Consider the following 24,358-nt stretch of genomic DNA (forward strand, 5'->3'; position numbering starts at 1 on the left):
GTGCATCACTGTCAGAAACATTACACAGTGGTTAATTCCATTTACCCCTGAGCAAAGAAGTCAGAAGGGAAAAGAAATCTGGCCTTCCAAAACAGAAGGGGAAGGGGAATAGTATATTTAAGGGCCTTCTCAGCTCACATTGGGCTTTCTAATCCAAGCCATATTTTGGCCTTGGTCTTCGCCTCTCAGCCCTGTGCCTGTTTGCAAAGCATTTGTTTTGTGTGTGCACGGCAGCACATAATCTTAAGCTTTGCTTGCCTCTCAAATTTCCCTCTCTCCCCCTTATCAGTGTCCTTCTGAGCCTCAAGTGTCCTGGCAGTCATATCTGTTGCTTCAGTCTTCACCCATTTCCCTCCTTTCTGTTAATGGGGCTTTCTATCTGCTTTCCTTGATTTTCCTTGATCTTGTGAGACCTTGTGATGACCTCAGGATCTGGAATTCTCTATCCGCTGTTTATATACCCCTAGGAGAGAAGACACATTCTCAGCAGTAATAACAGTAATGAAAGCAGCTAGCTTATAATAAGCACTTACTATGTGCTGGCACTATGCTGAATGCTACACTTTGAACACTCTGAAACTGGGTTATAAAGTTGCATGACTCCCTGAAGTACCAATTGCTAATGGGTGATGAAACTGGAATTCTCATCCACACCAGTTTAATTTTATCTCTCTTCATCCTCAAGGCCTGACACATTGCTTGGAACACCGCAATTACTCTGTAAATGTACCATGAGAGAATGAATATATGAATGACTGAATGAATGAATGGTGGTGCCCCCCAGTGGCTAATGCAAACATTTGAAGAATGTAGAATGGAAAGGTAAAGAAGGAAGAGAGGGAGGGATAGAGGAAGAAATAGAGGAAAAATCTGAATGAACATTATAAGATTTCAAAAAGATTGGCTAAGAAATCTCAGATATGCAAAGTATATTTTATTTGCAGGTGATTTTCAAACATAAAGACATTTTACATCCATTAGAGCATTTCCCACCTTTAACTAGTCCTTTAGGAGATATACAGTTGTCCCTCAGTGTCCACAGGGGATTGGTTCGAGGACCAACTCCCTCAATGCCAAAATCTGAGGTTGCTCAAGTCCCCAACATAAAATGGCATAGTGTTTGTGAATAACCCACACACATCCTCTCATATACTTTGAATCATTTCTTGGTTATTTATAATACATAATCCAATGTTAATGCTATACAAATAGTTGTAATGTGGTATTGTTTTATTTGTATTATTTTTATTAAGTATTATATTTTAATTTATTCTGAAATATTTTCAATCTGAATTTGGTTGAATCCACAGATGCAGAGGCTACAGATAAGGAGGACCAATTGTGCACTTATTTCAAAGATACTCTGTTTGCCAAAAATGTTTTTGGATTCTTGTTTTGAGAATCAGTGCCTGGGACATGTTTCCCCAGATATGCTCAATGGAGCCTCCTTGTCATCCTCTGATGAGGGGCCCTGATGCATTCTCAGGCAAATCTTGGAATTATGTGGGTGACCATGCTGAGTGAATATGGGGTTTTGAATAGAACAGTGACTCTGGAGTAACAAGGCTGATTTTTGGGTGACTATCATCAGAGCTGATTAAGCCTTGATAGAGCCAATATTAAGCTCTCAGGATGACCCCTTTACAGAAAAGCCCCTCAAAAGGCTGATTTAATCTGCTAAAAACAAATGCAATATCTTGACCTTCCCTTTCCCAAATTCTAAAGCTGGAGTAACAGAAACTGCCTTATCAAATCTGCTCAGTTTACTGACTGAGAAACTGAGATCCATGGATGTTTACCTGCTAAATTAAGCTAAGCTAAGTGAGTAAGGTTAAGCAGCAAATTGGCAGTAAAATTGAAACTAAAATTTAGATCTGTTGACTTCCACATCAGTGCTCTTTCCACTGGGTCACTTTATTTTCCTTTACAGTGTGGGGTGATAGTTATAACTATGGGTTTATATTAGTAAGATTACTAGAAAGCATCATACAGCTGTTTAATAACTTTTTTAAAGAACTTCTTATGTGCCAATCTGCTGTCCTAGACATTCTTTAAGATTCAATGAGAAATGAAAGTTTATTAGGAAAGGTAAATGTTCCTTCATTTCTTCCTTCTTTCTAACCATTCACCCTTCTATTTCATATGTAGTTATTCAGCAATTTTTATATATTATACATTGAGTTAGGAGATAAGAATTAAAAAGAAGAACAAGGCATAGTTCCATGCCTTGAGGAACTCCCAGTCCTAGTGGTGGAAGCAGACTGGTAAACAGATAGATGACATCATGGTAACTGCTATAACTAAGCAATTAACAGAGTCCTGGGGAAGCACAGAGCAGAAACACTATGTTATGAAACACCCATGTTTATCATGAGAGTGAAAAAGTGCTCTGAAATTTCAAAGGCATAAGTGATCTTTTCCACCTGGAAGGATTGGGGACTTGTTCATGAAGTGAATGTGTATGTATGTAGAGTGTGTGCTCTGCCTTGTGTGGGGGTATAGTCATGTATGTAATTTTAAACATATAGCCATAAATCAAATGAGAACAATCAACACTTCTGGATTCATGCCTCAGCTGTAGATACTTACCCAGAGTATCTTTTAGGAGTATGGTGTTAGGAAATTATTGGACAATTCAATATCCATCACCATCTGCATCAAGCCAATGCAACTCCTTATCTTCCCTCCTCATAGCATTTATCACACTCTATTGTGATTTCCTTGGTATCTGTCTGTTTCTCCCCAATTGTCTCTGAGCTCCTTGGAGCAGAGACCATTTTGGTCTTCATCTTTGCATTATTCCTTTTACTTCGCACAATACTAGTCATGTCGGTGAGGGCTGGCTAAACAATGTTAAATGAACGAACAGATTAGAGATGGCTCCAAATAAGGAATAACATAAGGTGATTGAATGTGAGTGCTGTGAAGAAAAGGTGCTTTGAGAATTAATAGCATAGGCCTTAGAAAGACCAAAGAGTGAAGGCAGACACATTGTGAGTGGCATTGACTGTGAGATATGGCCCTGGTCTCTCTGAGCTAACCAGTTACCTATTGAAATGTATATGCTTATCATCTTTCCCTATCTCTCTTCCTCTCTTTCTTTCCAGTGAACCAGTATACCATCTATGCCAGCTTTAAGTCCCTTCCATGTGGCTGTCCTTCGGCCTCTCCAAACCCATTCTTTTTTTTTTTTTTTTTTTTTTTTTTTGAGATGGAGTCTCACTCTGTCACTCAGGCTGGAGTGCAGTGGCACAATCTTGGCTTACTGCAACCTCCACCTCCCGAGGTCAAGCAATTCTCCTGCCTCAGCCTCCCGAGTAGCTGGCATTACAGGCACCTGCCACCACGCCCAGCTAATTTTTGTATTTTTATTAGAGACAGGGCTTCATCATGTTGGCCAGGCTGGTCTCAAACTCCTGACCTCAGGTGATCCGCCCACCTTGGCCTCCCAAAGTGCTGGGATTACAAGCATGAGCCACCGCACCTAACCTCTCCAAACTATTCTTAGAAAGAGCTGCTAAGAGCTAGGTGGAATTGTAAGGGATGTGTCCATGCTCCTCCTGCAATCTTCACCTAGAATATAAGAGGATGAGGATGGCACACTAGATTTTTTTTTTTTATCTAGTGTGCCAGGAAGTTATCAGAGAGCTTCAAACAATGGAGTTACTGGATCTGGTTTATGGTTTCCAAAGATCACTCTGACTACTATGTGTAGAATGGATTGCATGAGGCCAAGAGTGGGGTCTCAGTTACAACAGCATCATGATCGATTGCTGATGTTATGACTTAGTATTTTGGTTAATATAATTATCATTTATTTCCTTATGAATACGAGTACCAAGTGAAATACCAGAATAGCACTCCTATTTTAGATCAACGAGGATAGGGGAGTTTTTGCACTTGGGTTCAGAAGTACTTGATTTGTAAACCCCAAGACATTTTCTGTAAAAATTTGAGGTTGTGCATATTTTTCTGGAGTCAAAGTTCTTCTTAGTTGCTTAAAGGGATATATGTCCCCCAAATGGTGACTTACATGCTGAAAAACTGGGGGCATACCAGGTCATTTCCTGAAGCTTGTTCCCAGCTCTAAAATATGAACACTATAGGGGATCTGTGATAATGAGAATGTTGATGTTGAGTTGTCATATCAGACTGAGCAATTGCACTTTCCTTCATCTGTACCCTTGTTGGAGTAAATAGAATTTGGACCTTTTTTTCCTCTGAGGAAGAATTAGTTTATTTCTTAGAAATATAATCTACAACTTTGTTTATTCAAACTCTGCTTTCTGAGTTTCTCTGAGTTTTTAAATAGGCAAGTACACTTCAAATGTGGTCTGAAGTGGTCCTGCCCATAAGTATTCACTGTGGACTTTGACCATGAAGCCACAAATCCAGCCACCTATCCACCCTTCCATCAATCTACTCTTCCATCCATTACCCATCTATTAACTCTCCTTCCCTCCCTTTCTTCCTTCCTCCCTACCCCCTTATCTCCCCCCACTCCCTCCCTCTCTTCCTTCTTTCCTTCCATCCACCCTTCCATCAATCCATCCCCTTTCATCCCCATTCATTCCCTAATCCATCCACCCTTCTTTTCTGCTATCCATCCATCTATCCATCCATCCATTCATCTGTCCATCCATCCTTCCATTCTTGGATAAATGTAATCTTCCATTTACCAGGCTTTGTGCTAGGACTGGAGGAAGAGTTAGGAGGTTCCAATTCTTGTTTTTATGCCGCTGTGAGTTCTTAAAAAAAAAAAAATCCCCTGAGACATCTTCACTGAACCTTATGCTTCCACATAGTAGAGTGTGAAAACCACTCATTGAAAACTAATTTGAAAAGTTAAAGTGTTCTGCCTGCATAGTTCTATCATATAAATATTCCTGGTAGTGCTCTGAGTCTGGATCTAGACTACCAGAGGCTCCTTTATCAACAGTAATATTTTAGATCAATAACAGTTTCTACCCTTAGGTTAGCAGGTACTGGAAAAACAATAGGAAGTTTGAAATGGAAGCCTTTCTTTGGGAAAGGGCAGGCTTAGGTGAGACCAGAGAAGGGAGCTGCTAGTCACTTAGCCTCTGGGACTCTTTTTTCCCACAGCCTCCCAAAGCCCTTGTTTAGTGATGCTGAGCCTTCACATTCTGTGTATGCCTCTGGATGTATGATGTAGCAGAATGCCCTTGTGGCATGGGGTTGTTTCAGTTTCCAAAGCATTTTCGACATCTACCTATCATATTCCCACTCGCCTTGTAAAACAAGCATTTTCATTTAATACAGTGAGGTCTTTGTATTCTCAACAACAAACACATGGTCCAAGGCTCTAGGACACAACCTGCCTTTTTCTCCAACCCCCACTTTCAACCCCCCCACCACTCTGTCCACCCTTACAAAGCCCAGTGTTAGCAGAAATATCTGTTTACAAACAAGTGTTCCAAAAGAACAGTATCAGTAGCTCAAACAAGCCTCTGAAACATGCCTCTGATTCTATACTTGGAATCCCTGTGAACAGTGGGTATCACTGGCAGCAGCTTTCATGGAAGGCTTCCTGCCTTTCCATCCTTCCGTCTGTCCTCATGTCTGACTTTCTCTGTCTCCTTCCCCTTATTCATTGAAACCATGGGGAGGCTGAACTGGAGAGGCAGTCAGATGCTGGCCTGGGCATTATGGATATCTAGGAGACAAAGCCCAGACAGGGAGTTGCTTGCAGACAGCAAGACAAACCCAAACACATCCGCCTGCAGTGTTATCTGAAGCAGAAGCTGATTGAAGAAGGATTATTAATTGGGTGGATATAATAGTCACATGATAATCATGCAGCTCTAAGCCTTTTTCTAAGGTTTCATCGACTGAGGAGCTGCTATTGCTGCTCTCTGGAAGTTGAGTCTACTCTAGCTCCCTATTACCTATGCATAACAGCTAATATATTTAATGCATAATATGTGTCGGGCACTGTTCATAAAATTTTGCATATGTTAACTCTTTAATCCTCACCATGACCCTCTGAGGTGGGTACTATTATTACTGCAATTTTCCAGATGAAAGATGAGGAATGTTAAGTGAATTTCCCAAGGTCCACACAAGTCAGTGGTAGAAGCAATCTTCAGAGTGCATATTCTAACCCCTCCACCATAAACCTCTCTAGATTCTCTAGACTGGTTCTAAATTCTGTAGCCTCACATTCACCTTCCTCCCTAAGCATTGTTTACTACTGTAACTTTCCCTCGTTGCTTCCACCAGGGATGCTAAACCTCACCACTATTAACATTTTGGAATGCATAATTCCTTGTTGTGGAGTTTGACAGCATCCCTGGCCTCTATGTACTAGACACAGTAGCCACAACCTCCTCCCCAGTGTGATGATCAAAAACGTCTGTAGACATTGCCAAATGTTCCCTGTGAGCAAAATCTACTGACTGAGAACCACTGACTTACATGGATTCTTCTGATTAAACTGAATTACCTGATACTCCTAAAACACATATTTCTCCCTCTATGCTTTTTCACATTTGTTTTCCCCTCTTGAGCTTACAGTGTTCTTGGCCTCCTCCTCATCAATCTTCTCTGTTTCATAGTCTTTCAGTTCCTCAGCATCTTTTACAGCCAGAGGAAATACTAACCTGTCTGGTTACTGATCTGCTTGTTTCTATGCCTTTTTTGTTTAAAAAATGGTCACCACTTCCAAACTTTTGATTTAAAGTCCCTTAAAGATCCCTGGAGTCTTGAGTTTAAAATTTAGTTTGTACTATGCATTCCACGATGTTTTACAGAGTCTACCATGTATCAGATCTCAAGCTAATCACTGAGGATATGAAGTCAAAGGAGATAAAATCCCTTTCTTTCAAGGAGTTTATGAGATAGACTCTCAGGGAAATAAAGGGATCTGAAGATCAACTCTCCATCCTCCTTCAGTTGAATAGATGGGGAAACCAAGAGACAAAAGGTAGATGACATTTTCTCAAGGTCAGCTAGAGACCAGGATCAAGGCTGAACTAATCATCCTCTACCTAGTGCAACAAAATTTAAATTATGAAGCCCCAAAGAGCATCTAAACCCTATTTATCCATTTAGAGCCTTAAAGCGTTTTTTGAGTTGAGTTATTTATAATTTATGATTTTCTAACAGATGTCAAAACAATAGAAATTTAGTAGTGTATCAAACCTCTCTCTTTGAAATTGTGCTCACATTTCACCCTCTTCATTAATGAGTCTTAAGGCTAAATGACTCCAGATTGCCACATGAGCACTAGACAGGAGTCCTGAGACTTTAGTCCTGGCTCTGTTAGCTCTGTGACTGTCAAAAGGAAGACCATATAATCCCCAGCTAATGATCCCCACCCACCCCCATGGACTGCCTCAAAAAACACCAAAGATTCATTCTTTTCTATGGAAGAAACTTTAGATCTTTTGGCATGTCATTCACAACCCTTTGTGATCTAGCCTCAGACAGCCATTGTACTTCATTTCCCTCAGTTACTCTGTGCACCCTCAATCCCATCAAAAGCAAATATCTTTCTCATCTCGAGAGTGACCTTTAGGTGGACTTCATAGCTCTTGCCATTGCTGATGATTCACCTTGTGCTAGAAAGTCTTTGACCAGCTTCTCCTTCCCCAAATCCTGTACCTCATGCAAGGCTCGGCTCTTTTGAGACTCATCCAGGAAAACTTCCCTGCACCTTCTTGTCAGAATCAAGTAGTCTTTCTGCTGAGCTCTATTTGCTTGTACCTCTACTATAGAACTCGCTTTATTACTCTTTATTTATCATTAAAAGCAGCCCCTTGTCCTGGTGTAGTCAGCTTTCCCCTGACTAAGCAGAAATATTTAGAAGTTAAAATGTGAATTCTGGAGTCTGATTGCTTGGGGTTGAACCCCATCTTTGTCACTTGGCCAACAGGTTACTCAGGCTTAGGTGAGTTATTTGGACTCTCTGAGTCTCAGTTTTCTCATCTGTAAAATGGTGATAATAATAATATTTCCCTGCTTGCATTATTGTGAGAGTTACCTGAGTTATCTATGCAAAGAGTTTCGCACAATACCTGGCACACAGTAATCACTCGGTAAGCATCAGCTGTCATTGCCCTCCCTGCCTAGAAAGGTAATTCTGGAGGGCACCAGCCCTGCAAAGTGGAGATCTGCCTGTCTGGCCTTGTCCCTTTCTTATCTCCCTTTGCCATCTCTCTCCTGAAAGGCTCACCCTAGGCTGTGTGGGCCAAGATGAGGTGATGGCAGGCTCATCTGAGAGAGGAGCTTTTTCTTCAGAGCTCAGCCCACACTGTGTGGGCTGTGTTTTTATACAACTTGCTGTAGGCCTGCATCAGGTATGAAATTTACATCATTTGACTTGCCCATGTGGGAATCTTCCCCATTCCTCTTGGCTCCTTAGAATGGGTACAGGTGTTCAGTGCCTCCTCCTCCCAATGCTCTTCAGCAGATGAGGAACCGAGGTCCAAAGATGAAAACAAGGCTGATGACTCACCTGTTAGACACAGTTGGCACAGTGCCTGAGGTCTACAGTACTTTTGTTAAACTACAAAAATGGATTAATTCTTTCTTTTAGAATTAATTAATTTCTTTTAGATTAATTTCTTTTAGAATCAGAAGAAAAAATAATATAATAATAATACATCTAAAATAAGGAATCCAGACTCTCAATTACATTTATTTTTATAACAATGCAATCATAAAGCATAATTTTGGAAGAAGGAGCCTATGAAAGTCATGAAGTGACCATGGATGAAAAGAAATTTGCCCAAGATTAATAGTGGCAAATTAAAGCACAAGTTCCCGTCTTATTACCCTCCAAATAGAAATTTTTTTCTCTGCATTTTCAAGAAAACTGGTAGAATTTATTTTACCACAGTCATCTTCTTTCACAAATAAGAAAACGGACACCTGAGAGAGAGTGTGACTTGCCTAAGGTCTCGCCAACACACAACTAAGTTGTATTTTCCTAACTCCCTGTTACTCCTTTCACTATTTATACATTCAAACCTAATGACCACTGATGTCAACCTCCCATTATATAGATGGAAACATCGAGGGCCAGAAAGTTGAAGGGGCTTATATGATGTAACAAGGACCGCCACTCTTGCCTCTAAATCAGGGCGCCCTCCAGTACCAAGAGGAGCGTTTGAAAACTGGATACACAATTTTGTTAGACAGCAGGAATCACTTCAAGAGATCTATTATACAACATGATGACTATAGTTACTATTGCACACTTGAAAATTGCTAGGAAAATAGATTTTAAGTGTTCTCACCACAAAAATTCTAATAAGCATGTAAGATAATGCATACTTAATTAACTTGGTTCAGCCATTCCATAATGTATACGTATTTCATAATATCATGTTGTACAGTATTAATATACATAATTTTTGTCAATTAAATACAAATACAAATAATACAAACTTAAAAGAAGAAGAAAAGCTTGTTTGAAACCAAAACTCCCCCCAAATTAGGTTTCCTCACAAGCCTTGGGCACATAAATCTTTCATTTATTTATCCATTCAGCAAATGTTTATTGAGGACTTATGTCCTAGCCACTATATGGAGGGTTCTATATAGTGATACAGGGTGGTGATACAGGCTCTATATAGTGATACAGGGTGGTGATAGACATGTACTGTCTGTTCTTATGAGGCTTACAGTCGAGTGGGGGAGAGTACCATTGGAGGTTGACCTCAGAAATGAGTCATACTGTCAACAGTGATCATTGCCATGAAAAAAAATTAGATCAACAACTAAACAACCAAAAACAGTATTAGGACCTCAGAAAGACTCAGGAGAAAAGAGAGGCTGTGCCCTCAACAACTACATGTGGGAACTATCAAGAAACAGCCCAAGTGTCCTGTGGCTGGTACAGAAAGATGGCTGGGTCAAAGACTGACTACATCTGTGCCAGATAGCAGGTGCTCATCAACACTTATACACTGATGGTGGAGACTCATGAAGACTGAAGGTCTACTGGAAGAAGTAATACTGGTATTGTCTTGAAGATCAGAAAAGAGAAAAGGACAGGGACAATAGGGAGACATTTCTACCTGTAGGAAACAGTGTGGGCCAAAGTGAGGAAATCTTACCAGAGTCTGTCTACACACTCAGAGATAGATTGAGACCAATTTCTGAAATGCAAAATTGTTGTTGGTCTTTATTCTGAGAGCATCAGAGAAAGAGGTTTGTCTGTTTGGGGGAATAGTGAAAAATAGGATTTTAGGAAGATGAATCTGGTGATGCTTCACAGGCTGTATAAGGGAGCAATGAAACTTCTGGACCATGGGCCAGTTAGAAGAGTGTTCCAATAATGTAATTATGATGGATTAAGCACCAGCTTTGTTTTTTCATACCCTTTATGGTGCATAATAGGATGCTCATTTTACCAAGTAACAGAAGAAAAGCTCAGACCAAAATTATGACTTGCTCTAATCTCTGCTCCATGGTAGCAGAGTTGATATTTGAAATCATATCTCACACCCCAGCTTGGAAAGATAAATATCCCTCTCTCCTGTTAGTCTGTGAACTTGTGGATAGAATACTATAGTATCCACATAACTGCATGTAGAGCATTCATTCAATTAGAGTCTGTTGAGCACCTACTAAGTGCCACCATTATGCTAGGCAATATGTGATATATTCTTTTAAACTTTAAACATATGTGCATGAACATACACACAAGCAAAGTTACACAGAGAAATAAAAATGGAGTTGACAAGATGAGCCAAGGTCTGATTATAGCAAAACTGGGAGAAAGTTACCACATCAGGGAAGCTTCCTTTACTTCTCCAACAGTATTAATGGCTATTAATGTCTTGATCTCTGGAGTACTGAGAGGAAAGACCCCCCCCCCCAATATTTTTATTAGTGACATTAAATTGACATGTCCATGTGGCTTTGCAGGGACATGTAAAATATGTTTCTGAGCTTATTAGAAACAGTTCTCTCCTTCTTCTTCAATTCTGTCTCATTTCTCTGATACTTCCCATGTGCATTTGGTTTTACTTTCCTCACATACATCCTTCATGATGCCCATTTCTTGGATGCTTATTGTACACCATGCACTTTGAAAAGTGTTCTATGAACAGTGTCTTATTACATCCTTCCAACCAGAGCTGCCTCAAGGTCATCACAGAGCCAGAACTTAAAACAGCTGTATTCACTCCCAAATTGTGCTCTTCACTACCAGACTGTCCACTGTGCTTTCACTCATGCAAGCACCCTCACATGCATTTCTTTATTTCCCCTTAAATGCATGCATACATATAAGCATTTTGTCAACTTAATTGGTGCTTTCTACTTGCCAATCATTGTGCTGGCCTGGAAATATGAGTGGTCAGTCATTTGTTAAAATGTTGTACAGATGATTCAAATATGAGGTTAGGTGTGAAAGGGGATGATTAAATAACCAGTAAGAGAATTTCCAGCCCTGACTCTGCCTAATTCAATGAATGGTGAAGGGTCAGTCTTGGGGCTGCCATGCAGGGTATGACAGCAGGATGCACTGGTCCTTGACCATTTTCTGGCAAGTGGTATCATTGTCTCCAGGCTTGATGAGTGAGTGGAGAGAGGAGCTTGTAGATTCTCAAGTCATTAAAATGACCGAAGGAAAGATCTCTCTTCCAAGACAGCCCCAACATCAGCCCTCCTTAGTCCACCAGGATCTGGTTTGTGCTGTGCAACTTTCAAGGATGAACAATAGTTCATATTGTTATAGTGTACTTCTTTGACCCCATCCCCCACCTCTTCTTTCTCCTTGATCTTTTTTTCTTGTCCTTCCCCACTTCCTTTCTTACGTTGATGTGCACCAATTTTATATGCACTGATTTCATCGACAATGTGTGAAAAAAGAGCAATAAACATGCATCTTCATTTCAGAGAACAGTGTCAGAAAGGAACCTTTATGTGTGTGTTTAACAGCACAAAAAGGGGGGAAATAATCCCAATTCTGAAAAAGAAGGAAAGATATTATTTTTTGTTTGTTTGTTCATTTATTTGTTTGAGACGGAGTTTCGCTCTTGTTGCCCAGGCTGGAATGCAGTGGCGCGATCTCGGCTTACTGCAATCTCTGCCTCCTGGGTTCAAGTGATTCTCCTGCCTTAGCCTCCTGAGTAGCTGGGATTACAGGCACACATCACCATGCCCAGCTAATTTTTTGTATTTTTAGTAGAGACAGGGTTTCATCATGTTGGCCAGGCTGGTCTTGAACTCCTGACCTCAGGTGATCTGCCCACCTCAGCCTCCCAAAGTGCAGGGATTACAGGCGTGAGCCACCTTGCCTGGCCGGAAAGATATTTATTATTAACACACATTTTTAAAAAGTGTAGCTACAACAATCCCATTCTATGCAAATGAGCCTTTGGATTCTCTTACTAAATCCTCGAAATGGCACTATTTATTAAGTACTTATTATTATCAGTTTACATATGAGGAAACTATCAAGGAGATAAAGAGATTTTGTCCAAGGCTACACAGCTAACAGGGAGCAGAGCTGAGATACACAGATCAGCCTCACACCACTGTCCATGTGTTGTAACACTTGTTTTGTTGCCAGTGGCCATGTGCCAAGTGCTGTCACATTTGTTTTATCATTAGTTCCCCCACTACAACTGTCAGAGGAAGATGTATCATCCCCATTTTACAGATGGGGAGACTAATACTGGGAAAGGAGCCCTGACTTTCCCATCCATAGCTAGTAAATGGCAAAGCCAGCATTCGAACTCAGATTTACTGGCCTGTAATCCCCCAACCTTTCTACGTCCATGCAGACTGCTTACACATGAGCAAAGGAGGAAGGCTGGAGACACAAGAGCCAGAGGGAATTACAGTTTGCCATCCCAAATGTACCACATAAGTCTGTGTATTATTAAAACTTATGGGTTTCAGGAACCCTCAGGCATACTACTCTCAAGCTTGCCTCACATCTGGATAGCCTTAAATAGTTTACAAGGAAATATGCATACATTTATCTCTTTTCTCTCTCAGAAGACATCTGTGAAGTATACAGGATAAGATTCTTCATCCTAGTGTACATGTGGGAAAACTAAGGTTCAGAGAGGTGAATTAACTTGTCTGATGTCACACAGCTAGTAAAAAAGGTGAACAGACCCATTTAGTGAGGGTGCTTTCAGATAACAGTTCCTGGCAAGGAAGAAGAATACAGGCAGGAGAACAGACACAGGTGCCATCAAGGGTGTTCATTCTACTGCTCCATGCCGTCCTGCAAAAGGAAATCTGGTCCTCCTCCTACACTTGCATGGCCAACACATGGGAAACACCTGAGCTAACCCTGACTTGGAGAATTGTTCCATGTGGTTACTTTCAATGCTCCTGCCTCTCTTGAACAAGACACAGAGATGTCCAGAACCCAGTATAACTTGGTATAATCCTCCAGTCCTGTATGTCTCCCTTTAAGCCTCCTCCTTCCACTGAGCCTAAGGCAAATCTTTTGACCCGGGGTGGACCCGGAGGGATGAGGATGCTGAGGAGCAGTCCCCCAGGTACCCTCCTCGGTGATATCCCAGCCTTCCTCTGAATGCCTGATGGTGCTGAGTCCTCCAGGTCATTTTGGTGGGTCTCCCCCCCGACTGAACCAAGTGCAGGGACCATGGGTATACTTAACCCAAATCTGTCTGTTTTAATCACTGTCCTCTGGACAGATAAAAGCTTTCCATAGGATTGCTCTCTCAAGCATTCCTCTGTGGCTTTGATACTAGTGATTAAATCATGGAAGGGAAAGCAAAACAAAACAAAACAAAAAAGGGACCAGCTCCAACCTTTAGCTTTTAATTTTTTTAGCCTCATGAAAGAAACCAGATTGTTGACCTAAATTCCCCCTTTCATCCCCTCATCCTCTCACCTCTGCTTGTATTCTCCTGGCAGATGTCCCACAGCTAGTGGGCATCCTTTAATTGAAGGGTCTGAAACTGCCTTTTACCCTGCCCCACAATGACCTTACATCTCCCGCAGGGGGAACCAAGGCTGGGATACCTGTAATCGCTGGGATCTTGGAGTCACAGAATGTGGATGGAAGGGACCTCTGTGACCATGTGGTCTAACACTCTTATATCCTAAGGAAAGGAAGTGAGGAAGCCCAGAGTAGGGAGCTATTCACCCAGGGACCACAGCACAGCATGGCAGACCTAGACATTAGAGCCTTCATGGTGGATTGAGAGCACCAATCCACCATGGAAAGCATCTTGGTGGGGAGCTTTGGCTCTGGAGTGAAAGAGATGAGAGTTAGAATTGTGATTCTCCCAATCCCTCGCTGGGATCCTTGGAGGGAAAATCAATTAACCTCTCTACATCTCAGTTTCCTTATCTGTCAAAAGAATACTAATAAATCCCACTTAGTCTGTGCTTAGTAAAGAGACTACTAAATAGAGGCTTTCAGAAAGTGTTTGTTATTATTATCATTATTTATTTAAAAATACCACTTTTTCACAGCAGAAATGTCCTGGTGGAGTTTTTTCTCCTTCTATATCTACTCTCCCAATGAGAGAAAACAAACAATAATACGAATTGCATATAAATTGTCATCCTTTGCTAATTATCTCCACCCCGCCGCCCCCAGACAGTGATGGCAGAAAGTCAAATGTTATCAGAGATAATTTTATGTTGACTTAAAGCTTCCCAGGAAAACATCCTAGGCAAGACCACAGGAAGAAAGCATAGCTAGAGTCCCCCTCAGCTGTGGGGGAGCTTTCAAATTTGAAATCAGGAGACTCGAATTCCAGTTTTTCCTACCCCTTAGTGCTGTGGGACTTTAGGCAGGGGACCTCGCCTCTCTGACTTTCCAGTTTTCTGATCTGTAAATAGTACCTATTGTAGCAGATTGCTGTGAGGATTCTAGGAGACACCTTGAGGTGAGGAATGTTTCCTGTAAGTGATGAACACACCACCAATTTTGCTATCTTTCTAATACACCTTGCTCTACTCAAAACAGCAATTGAGTAAATTGAGACATTGCATTGTAACAAGAGAAAAATTCTGAACTGGGAACAGGCATTAGGAGATAAGATAGATTTTAGAAAAATTTCAGTGGGAGAGCTTAGAAAACTTGTTGAATGATGGTTTGCTAGGGCAGGCATAACAAAGGACCCCAGCCTGGCTGGCTTAAATGACAGAAATTTATTTTCTTAAAATTCTGGAGATCAAAAGTCCAAGATCAAGGTGTCAGCCAGGTTTGTTTCTTCCAAGACCTCTCTCTCTCTCTCTTTCTCTCTCTCTCTTTCTCTCTCTCTCTCACTGGTTTCCAGATGGTCATCTTTTCCTTGTATCTTCACATAGTCTTTTCTCTGTATTACTTGTGTCCTAATTTTCTCCTCTTATAAGAACACCAGTCAAATTGGATTAGGATCTGCCATGTCACCTCACTTTAATTTAATTACCTTTTCAAAGACTGTATCTCCAAATACAGTTAAATTCCAAGGTACTGGGGTTACATCTTTAATGTATGAAATTTGGTGGAACACAATTTCATCCACCACAATGAAAAGGAAAATGGGAGGCAGCCAAAAGCATGGCAGCAAGCTTGGGAAGAAAAATCAGTATCGACATTGGAAGTTAGAGGAAACCTGAGTCAGAAACCATCAGGCAGGTAGGCTGGTAACGGAAATCCAGATGTCGAAGGACAAGCTCAAGTAAGCACTCCAGATGGACAACTATGCCTGGACAAACTTTGGGTTCTAGCGAAGTGGGCTGAGCCCAGTGGAATAGATTACTCTTTGGTAATAAAGAACCATCAATTCTTAGTTAATTGTTTAGGTCCCTACAGAAGAATGATAAAGACAGCAGCCTCCTGGCTTTCAATTCAATTCACCTTGCTTGTGGGGGTGCTGCAGAACTTACAGAAGTATTTCCAGAGGAGGCCACGCCTTTAAACAGCCTACAACAAAACATTTGGCCTTTGGCACTTAATGTATTGACCATGACTAAGAGCCTGGGTGTGGGAATTCTATAGACCTGCATTCTGAGCTGTGTTGCTTTGGGCAACCATTTCCCTATTCTGAGCCTCAGTCTATCCTGAAGAGGGAGCAATGCTGATAGACTTGTTGTGAAGATTAAGCAAGATAATTAACGTAGAGTAAATGATAGTATGTTCTCAATAAAGAGTAAGATACTCTTATAGAGAAGGCAGAAATAGGGAAGTATCCCCCTGCTCCCTTTCTTTCTTTCTTTTTAACTTTCAATAACAAACTCTACAGAGCACTTACAACATACCAGATTTTGGGTTGGATGTTAGGTATTTATAAATGAAGCAAACAGCCACATATGTGGGAAGCACAGATCTTGAATGAGTAATTACTCAGTGATGAGGCAGTTTTAGGATGGGGAGGAGTATGATGAATATACAGGAGGAAGATTTGTTGGTGCCTGGGTGGCATGGGGTCGTCAGACAGACTTGTCTTGGGGTAATATTTACCATGATGATCTTTAGAGAATACCCCTAATGCCCAGAGTATTCTCCCACACTCTGTACAGCCTTAGCCAAGGTTCTGAGAGACTCTTTCCATGCCTTTGAGCTTTTCTCCTTTGTGGATGTTCTTCCTTTCTGGGATGAGATTGAATGAGTAGATGAGAAGAAAAAGAGGCAATGAAAAAAATAGACATCAAGCTTCTGGGGGCCTATGGAACCCTTTTCACATCCAGCCTAGCTGCAGGAAGATAGGGTGCATTAGAAAGATCAGCTGGCCAGGGTTCCAGGGATGGTTCCGTAACAGGAGGACCATGGCAGGCTCCTTTCCTGCTGCACCTCAACCTCTCCCTCTGTGCAGTGTGCCCAGACACACTACTTTAAAAGGGCTCTTGCACGCTTTCATTGTCTAGTTCTATGTGCTTATAGCATTGAGACAGACATACGCTAATTATATGTAGATTGTGTGCAGAATTGCATGTGGCCTTCGGTTTTGCCACATGGGACTATATCCCCTGGGATCATCCTCTAGTCCCACACAGATGGTGCTGACTTCAGACAAATTAGCACCATTTTTTTTTTGTACTATGCCTCTATCTTTATGGAGAACTGTGAGGAAGGGCAGTGTGGAGACGTGGGGGTTCTTTTGTGTCCTCCAGAGAACAGCATTGTGTGTCCTGTATAGAGATCCTCAGAGGAGACAGAACCTAAGCATGCAAGAGTTGCGAATGACATAAGGCATCTAATTCCAATCAACACATATTTTTGAGCACCTTCTCCTTACAAGGAACCATTCTATCAGTGAACAAAAGAGCTCTTAAATTCTAGCAAGGGATCATTTTTATCCAGACCCCTCCTTTTACAGAGAAGGGAAATTAGGTTCAGCAGCATAAAGGAGGTGGTATGACTTGTCCCAGGCAAGGTTACCTGACAAGTCAAGCTCAGATCTCTGGTGCCAAACTTCTGGTTCTGAGCTGGTGGTACAACGATGCTTCCCTTTCAGACCCTAAAATAAGACTACTGTTGATTAAGTTATGTTCATATAGAAATAAAACCCCATTGCCACCATACACCCCCAACCTTATTGAAGCTCGGTGATTTTCTTTCACTACTTATACTCCAGGTAAATATTTCCCTCTGAACTTGTGAAGCCGCTGCTTCAAGGTTCTCATTTCCCTTAATGTGTTTCTTTTTGGTTCCATTGAAAACCTTCTCTTTGCCCTTCCTCTCTGCCTCCCATGGCTAAGCCACCCCTTATTTCTTAACTCTTTTGCAGAATCTGCCTTTTCTCACTTCTTCCCCCTTCTCTCAACTGCAAACAGAGGTGGCCTGAGCCTGGGTCCCAAGCCCCGGCAAGGTTCTGAACTGAGAGCACCCTACAGATGTGTAAACATTTTACCTTGCTAACCAGGCTAGCTGCCTTCCAAAGGCAACAGGAAAACCAGAGACTGGGAGCCCCTGGCAAAATAAAAACCTGCAGAGAGAGAGAGACAGAGAAAGAGAGAGGGAAAAAGGATCTTGTTTTAGATTTTAATTTTCTCATTAGAAGGCCATTCATTTTCTTTTCATGAGGGATAGGGTTAGCTGGGAGAGAGAGAGAAGGTGAGCTAAGAGGTGGGAAGGACATGAATGTCATGGCTCCAGGAACCTCTGCTCTCAACTGGTTCCATAACAGGCAGCAACAGATAGATCTGGCGCAACTCACTTCAAATCTGGAGTTGGATCTTAGGCTTTTGAAGGAGTCAGTGGGGAGGCAGCTTTTAATATGTAGTCTCATGATATCATCTAAGCTGACGGGATCTATGATTTCTAAGAAGGGTTTGCCAGTGGGTTTGAGGAGGACCTGGGCTTTTTTGAGCCTTCCTTCTTGATATGTCGTGCAAGATGCCTTCAGGGTACCCTCTCTTTCTGGCCTTTCTATTTTGTTTCCCGTCATTTCCTCCCTCCTTTTCATCCTCTACATCACCCCTGAACCCTCCAGCATCTTAACAATGAACTCTCATTTGGACAGCCGTTGTATGCGGAGGATGTCATATTCACTATGTCTTTTAAGTATGACAATATATTTAGAGATACAGATGAAGGAATTAAGGCTTAGAGGTGAAGTGATTTTGCCCCATACGTACAACTAGTAACTGCTGTCATCAAAATTCAAAGTAAATTACCCTGAGTGCAAAGATCCTGATCTTTCTACTTTACCAAGAATACATTTTATTCTCTGATTCTCCCTGTACTTTAGTCACAGAGACATAAATTAATGCCTTTGATTCTGTTTGTCCTTAAAATCCCTACCCTTTCTCGTCTCCGGCTCTATTTAGAATCATTCCCATGCCTGCTGTAGCAAGGTGCTGGAGAGGTTACTGGAATGACACAGACACAACCATTGCTCTCGAGAAGAAAACAGTTCGGCAGAGAGGGGATAATGGTGAGAACACAGGCAACTCCAAAACCGAAGAGCACATGTCAAGTTTCCTAAAAGTAAAAAGAGTTCAAAGAAGAGAATAATCACTATTCACAGGGAAGTCAGGATGAACTTCTTGAAAGAGTTACCTTGCATGCTAGTCATTGGGAAATCTAGAATAAAGAAAATCAGACTTGGACCTAATATGTGACACAGAACCTTACTTAACCCGCTCCTTTACCAGATAGAGAATCAGGACCCAGAGGACACCAGAGGAGGCATTTGGTGCTTCACTAAGGTTGTCCTGATGGTAAGAGCAGGATGACTTTGTAAGGAGACTCTGGCCATTTCCTGAAAAATGGCTGAGCAGGAAGTAGGAGGAGAGGTGTAGATTGGCATAGATGCTGGTCCAAGACTGCTGGCCATGTCAGCTGCTGACAAAGAGATTTACACCAATTCTAAGCTCCCACTGCCCACAGAGGAGTGAAGACTGTGTGGGCCTCCTCTATTGATTTTGCTGGAAGCTCTCCTTGCTCATTTGATGAGCACTTATAGCAGGTGAACTCCCAGAGTTATGGTGACTGCAACAATTCTCCAGCTGAGAGTAGTCACTGTCCTTCTAAATGAGCATCTTTTATTCACTCTCCTCTCCCTCTCTTTCTTCTCCCACCTGGCCTCATACATCATCTGACACTTAAAATACACTCTTAATTAGAAAGTCCTCTTCCCCATCCAACAGCTTTGTCTATGCCAGGGACACTGGGTATATTCCAGAAAGGCTAGGAAATGGGGGTTGGTGAGCATAAAGATAATTAGATCCAGAGAGAATCTGCTAACCTACTTCCTGGGGTTCCCAGAGTAACTATAGAGATGCTTGGCTTGGAACTTCCTCAAATATTGAACTCAAATTTGTGACATGCCCCAGGTAGGTGGCATAGCCCAGATGCCTGATGATTTTGGTGAGGCAGGGGGAGCTGCTATAGAATTAGGGCCTAGGACAGTGAATCCAAGGATCTGATGGATCTAGGATCCACTTACCAAGCAGTTGACCTTCAACCTGTCTCTCTATCTCCTTTAACTTCCATATTCTCACCAGTTAAGTGAGAAACGTAATGTCACCACCTTAGGGATATTACATGGATTAAGTTAGTGCATATACAGACCTTAGCACAATGCCTGGCCTGCCATAGAGGCTTGGGAGATTTTGCTCATTATTATTAACTATTATGTAGGCATACCCAATTTATGTTAAGAAGGCACTCATTATATGTGTGTGTGTGTGTGTGTGTGTGTGTGTGTATCTATATCTATATATCTATATAGATATATAGATATAGATATAGATATAGATATATATAGACAGAGAGAGAGGCATCAGTGTAAGAAGAAAGCTGAATTGGGACACAGGGGAACTGTCAATGACTCTGTGACATAACAAATGCCTTCCATTCTCTGGGACTCAGCTCTCTCACCTGTCAAACAAAGGGTTTGGAGGTGATGATCTTTGAAAACCTGTCTAGTTTAGCTCTGAAGTGTGTTTTCTTTCTTTGGGGATAAATGGCAAGATTCCTGTTAGAGAATGAAGTTCCAGCTTTTCAGGTCCTGACCCTCACTTTTATGCCCCAACTTTCCTGACAATTTAATGCCACTGATCATTTAATGACTGCTAATGGCAGATGTACACTCAAAGTTCTGGTAACTATGGTAGGGACCTCCCTTCTAAATGAGCATCTTCTGTTCGTTATCATCTCCCTCTGTTTCTCCTTTCACCTCGTATACTATATTACACTTAAAATACCCTCTTAATTACAAAGTCCTCTTCCCCATCCAACAGCTTTGGAAAATGGTTTTCAGATTTTTATTATTATTGCTGCTGTTGTTGCAACAACTTCATTAGATGAAGTACCCTTTCTTCAAACAAAAATCTTTCTTGTATGCTTCATATTCAAAACCAATAAAAGTTAAACTTCATGGGTTAAAATTGTGATGAAAATGCTCCAAACCCAACTTACTCATTCTCTCAGCTCCTCCAGCCCTTGCCTTGCCCTCGAGGTGGTCCCAGAGGCACCATTAGCAACTCCTAGGATCCCACAGAGCAGTTGGAAAGCGATGAGTCTAGGATAACCTGATACAAATTTTATTAGAGAAAAATAACTTAACCCCCCCTCCTTTTCCATCCTTTATTTATTCATCTTTCTCTTTTGGGGCCACATAGGGCTGTATGACAAATGTTCTTATATCTCACGTGACCGAGGATGGGTCGTGGGCATTCACACCATCAGTGACCAAGACAACAAAGACCCACGCTACTTTTTCTCCTTGAAGACAGACCGAGCCCGGCAAGTGACCACCATCAATGCCCACCGCAGCTACCTCCCAGGCCAGTGGGTATACCTAGCTGCCACCTATGATGGGCAGTTCATGAAGCTCTATGTGAATGGTGCCCAGGTGGCCACCTCTGGGGAACAAGTGGGTGGCATATTCAGCCCACTGACCCAGAAGTGCAAAGTGCTCATGTTAGGGGGCAGTGCCCTGAATCACAACTACCGGGGCTACATCGAGCACTTCAGTCTGTGGAAGGTGGCCAGGACTCAGCGGGAGATACTGTCTGACATGGAAACCCATGGCGCCCACACTGCTCTACCTCAGCTCCTCCTCCAGGAGAACTGGGACAATGTGAAGCATGCCTGGTCCCCCATGAAGGATGGCAGCAGCCCCAAAGTGGAATTCAGCAATGCCCACGGCTTTCTGCTGGACACGAGTCTGGAGCCTCCTCTGTGCGGACAGACATTGTGTGACAACACAGAGGTCATTGCCAGCTACAATCAGCTCTCAAGTTTCCGCCAGCCCAAGGTGGTGCGCTACCGCGTGGTCAACCTCTATGAAGATGATCATAAGAACCCGACGGTGACGCGCGAGCAGGTGGACTTCCAGCACCATCAGCTGGCTGAGGCCTTCAAGCAATACAACATCTCCTGGGAGCTGGACGTGCTGGAGGTGAGCAACTCCTCCCTTCGCCGCCGCCTCATCCTGGCCAACTGTGACATCAGCAAGATTGGGGATGAGAACTGTGACCCCGAGTGCAACCACACGCTGACGGGCCACGACGGCGGGGATTGCCGCCACCTGCGCCACCCTGCCTTCGTGAAGAAGCAGCACAACGGGGTGTGTGACATGGACTGCAACTATGAACGGTTCAACTTTGATGGTGGAGAGTGCTGTGACCCTGAAATCACCAATGTCACTCAGACTTGCTTTGACCCCGACTCTCCACACAGGTAAGACCTTACTGGGCTAAAGATGCCCAGTTGAAAGTTGAACTTGATGTCCTCCATATTATAGATAAGGCACCTGAGGCCAGTGGGTGATATGGGGATTTTCTGGTTCAACCAGCAGCTTCATGATTGAGGCAAGTCTTTTACTCGGGTCATTGTGGAGACCATAGGTAAACCCAGTTTATTATAAAAATATTTATTGAGTGCCTACCATGAGTCATGAGGGAAGCCTGAGAGCCCTGTTTTCTCAAAGAGCCCAGAGTTCAAATTGAGTGATATAAGCTGAGTACAAATAGCTGTTGTATTGTATGACATAGAGTGGGTGAGAGTTGCACAGTCCAATATGGTAGTTCCTAGCAACATGTGCCTACTTAAATTTAAATCAGTCAAAGTTAAATAAAACTCAAAATTCAATTCCTGAGTTTCATTAGCCACATTTCAAGTACTCTAGCCACATGGGACTAGTAGCTACCATACTGGCAAAGCAATATGAAACACTTCAGTCATCACAGAAAGTTCTGGTGGACAGGCTCAAAGAGGTGGGGTCGCATGGGGCTAGAAAACCTGGCCCCATGGTCTCAGCTCTCTGTGACTTCTTCATTTTGTAACTTCTTAGAAGCTGTTTCTTCATCTGTAAAATGGGGAGAATAATGGTACCTATTTTGTCAAGTTGCTCTGAGGATTGATAGAGAGAAGACATATAAAGTACACTCTCTTACAGCACATCATTAATTCTCAATAGTATGTCTGTCATTACTTGTCTAATGAAAGGTAGTGTGCTGTGTTTAGGGAGTGCCCTAGATGATCAAAGAGAAAAAGTTGATTTGCAGCTTGACTATATCAGGGAAGCCTTCTTGAGAGAGGTGACATTTGAGCAAGGTCTTCAAGAATAGCTCTAATTTGAAGGATGTTAGAACAAATCTAGAGATCTAATGAACAACAAGATCAATACATTTGGTGTAATAGAACAAATCTAGAGGGCTAATGTATAGCATGAGGACTATAGGAAATAAGGTTGAACTGTATTTGGGATTCATGCTAAATAACCAGATTTTAAATACTTTTGGCACAAAACCAAAAGAAAATGGATGACTTAAGATAATGGATATGTTAATTTATTTCACTATAATAAACTGTTTGCTATCTATATGTTTCCCATAACATCATGTCTACCTTAAATATACACAATAAAATTTACCTGAAAAAAGAATAGGTAAAATTTTGACATCAGAAATTGGGTGGAGGAAGAAGGGAGGACACTCCAGGCAGAAGGAATTTCTCATCTACTGCTAAAAAGAGGACAGAAAAGGGGGCCTTCAGTCTAATGCCTCACTTAGCCTCTGCCATTGCTGTCAGTTGCAACCAGTAATCCAAAAGTAGAGCCCAAAAGGTGAACTCAAGGGTAACCTGTATTAAATGTGGGACCTGGAGGAACTAGATTCAAGCTGGAGAGACCATCAATATCCACTTTCTTGTTTTTCCCAGATTCACACTGAACTTTTCTATTCTGTCCAACACACAGGACCCTGGACTTGCTGATGGCTCGAGCACATTTGCCGACCTCTGCAGGTTTTCTGCTGACTCTTCTCTTTATGTCTCTCTCAAAAGAGCAAGGGCCTCCCGTGCGTGAACAAAATACCTATGTGCAAAGGAATGAGGATGCTGGCAGGAGAATGCCCTGCCTGGCAGCAAGTCAGAAAGCACCTCAGCTCAGCTTCCCGGCACCAGGAGGGCCCCTGGACTCTCACCTTGGCTCCAAGACATGAGCAGCCCATGTGAGGAGAAGCCTTGGTGTGTGACCAGTCTCTTCTAGGTCACAGTGCATTGTCATCTCTGCTTTCACTTGGGCCTTTCCAAAACTTGGCAAGGGAGTCAACACAGAGGTTAACATTCACATTTGACTGATGGGAAATAGAGGAAACTTAGAGAGTGGAGTAACTTAGCTAAGTTCATGGGTCAAGAAAATCATTAGGCTAAATCACAAGTGCAAGTCTATGATCAGTGTGCTCCACCAAACTAGACTCCCAAGAGGTACCTCTGTGCCTGGTGAGAGTGGGCGTGGGGTAGGATGGGCATAATTGGAAGTCATCCATTCATTTGTACATCGATTTATTTGCTCATTCATTCACTCATTCATTCATGCAACAAATGTTTATGCAGCACCTGCCAAGTGCCAGGAAAGTGGATACCCTTAGCCCTGTTTTGCTTTGAAAATTTCAAGATTCAGAAAGATGAAGGGACTTACCTAAGCTCAATCTGCTAATAAATGGATAG

General features: G+C 42.2%; 1 protein-coding gene across 2 annotated transcripts in view; it reads left to right on the forward strand.

Moving 5' to 3' along the window:
• Nucleotides 1–24,358, forward strand: part of PAPPA (pappalysin 1) — a 248,531-nt gene that overhangs the window by 12,339 nt on the left and 211,834 nt on the right. For both annotated transcript variants that reach the window (NM_002581.5, XM_017014784.3), the window contains exon 2: nt 21,025–22,087. In NM_002581.5, coding sequence (NP_002572.2) covers nt 21,025–22,087 — 1,063 coding nt within the window. The remainder of the gene's footprint in view (nt 1–21,024; nt 22,088–24,358) is intronic.

The sequence above is a fragment of the Homo sapiens genome, chromosome 9, assembly GCF_000001405.40.
Source record: "Homo sapiens chromosome 9, GRCh38.p14 Primary Assembly".
In the NCBI taxonomy this organism is placed as follows: Eukaryota; Metazoa; Chordata; class Mammalia; order Primates; family Hominidae; genus Homo; species Homo sapiens.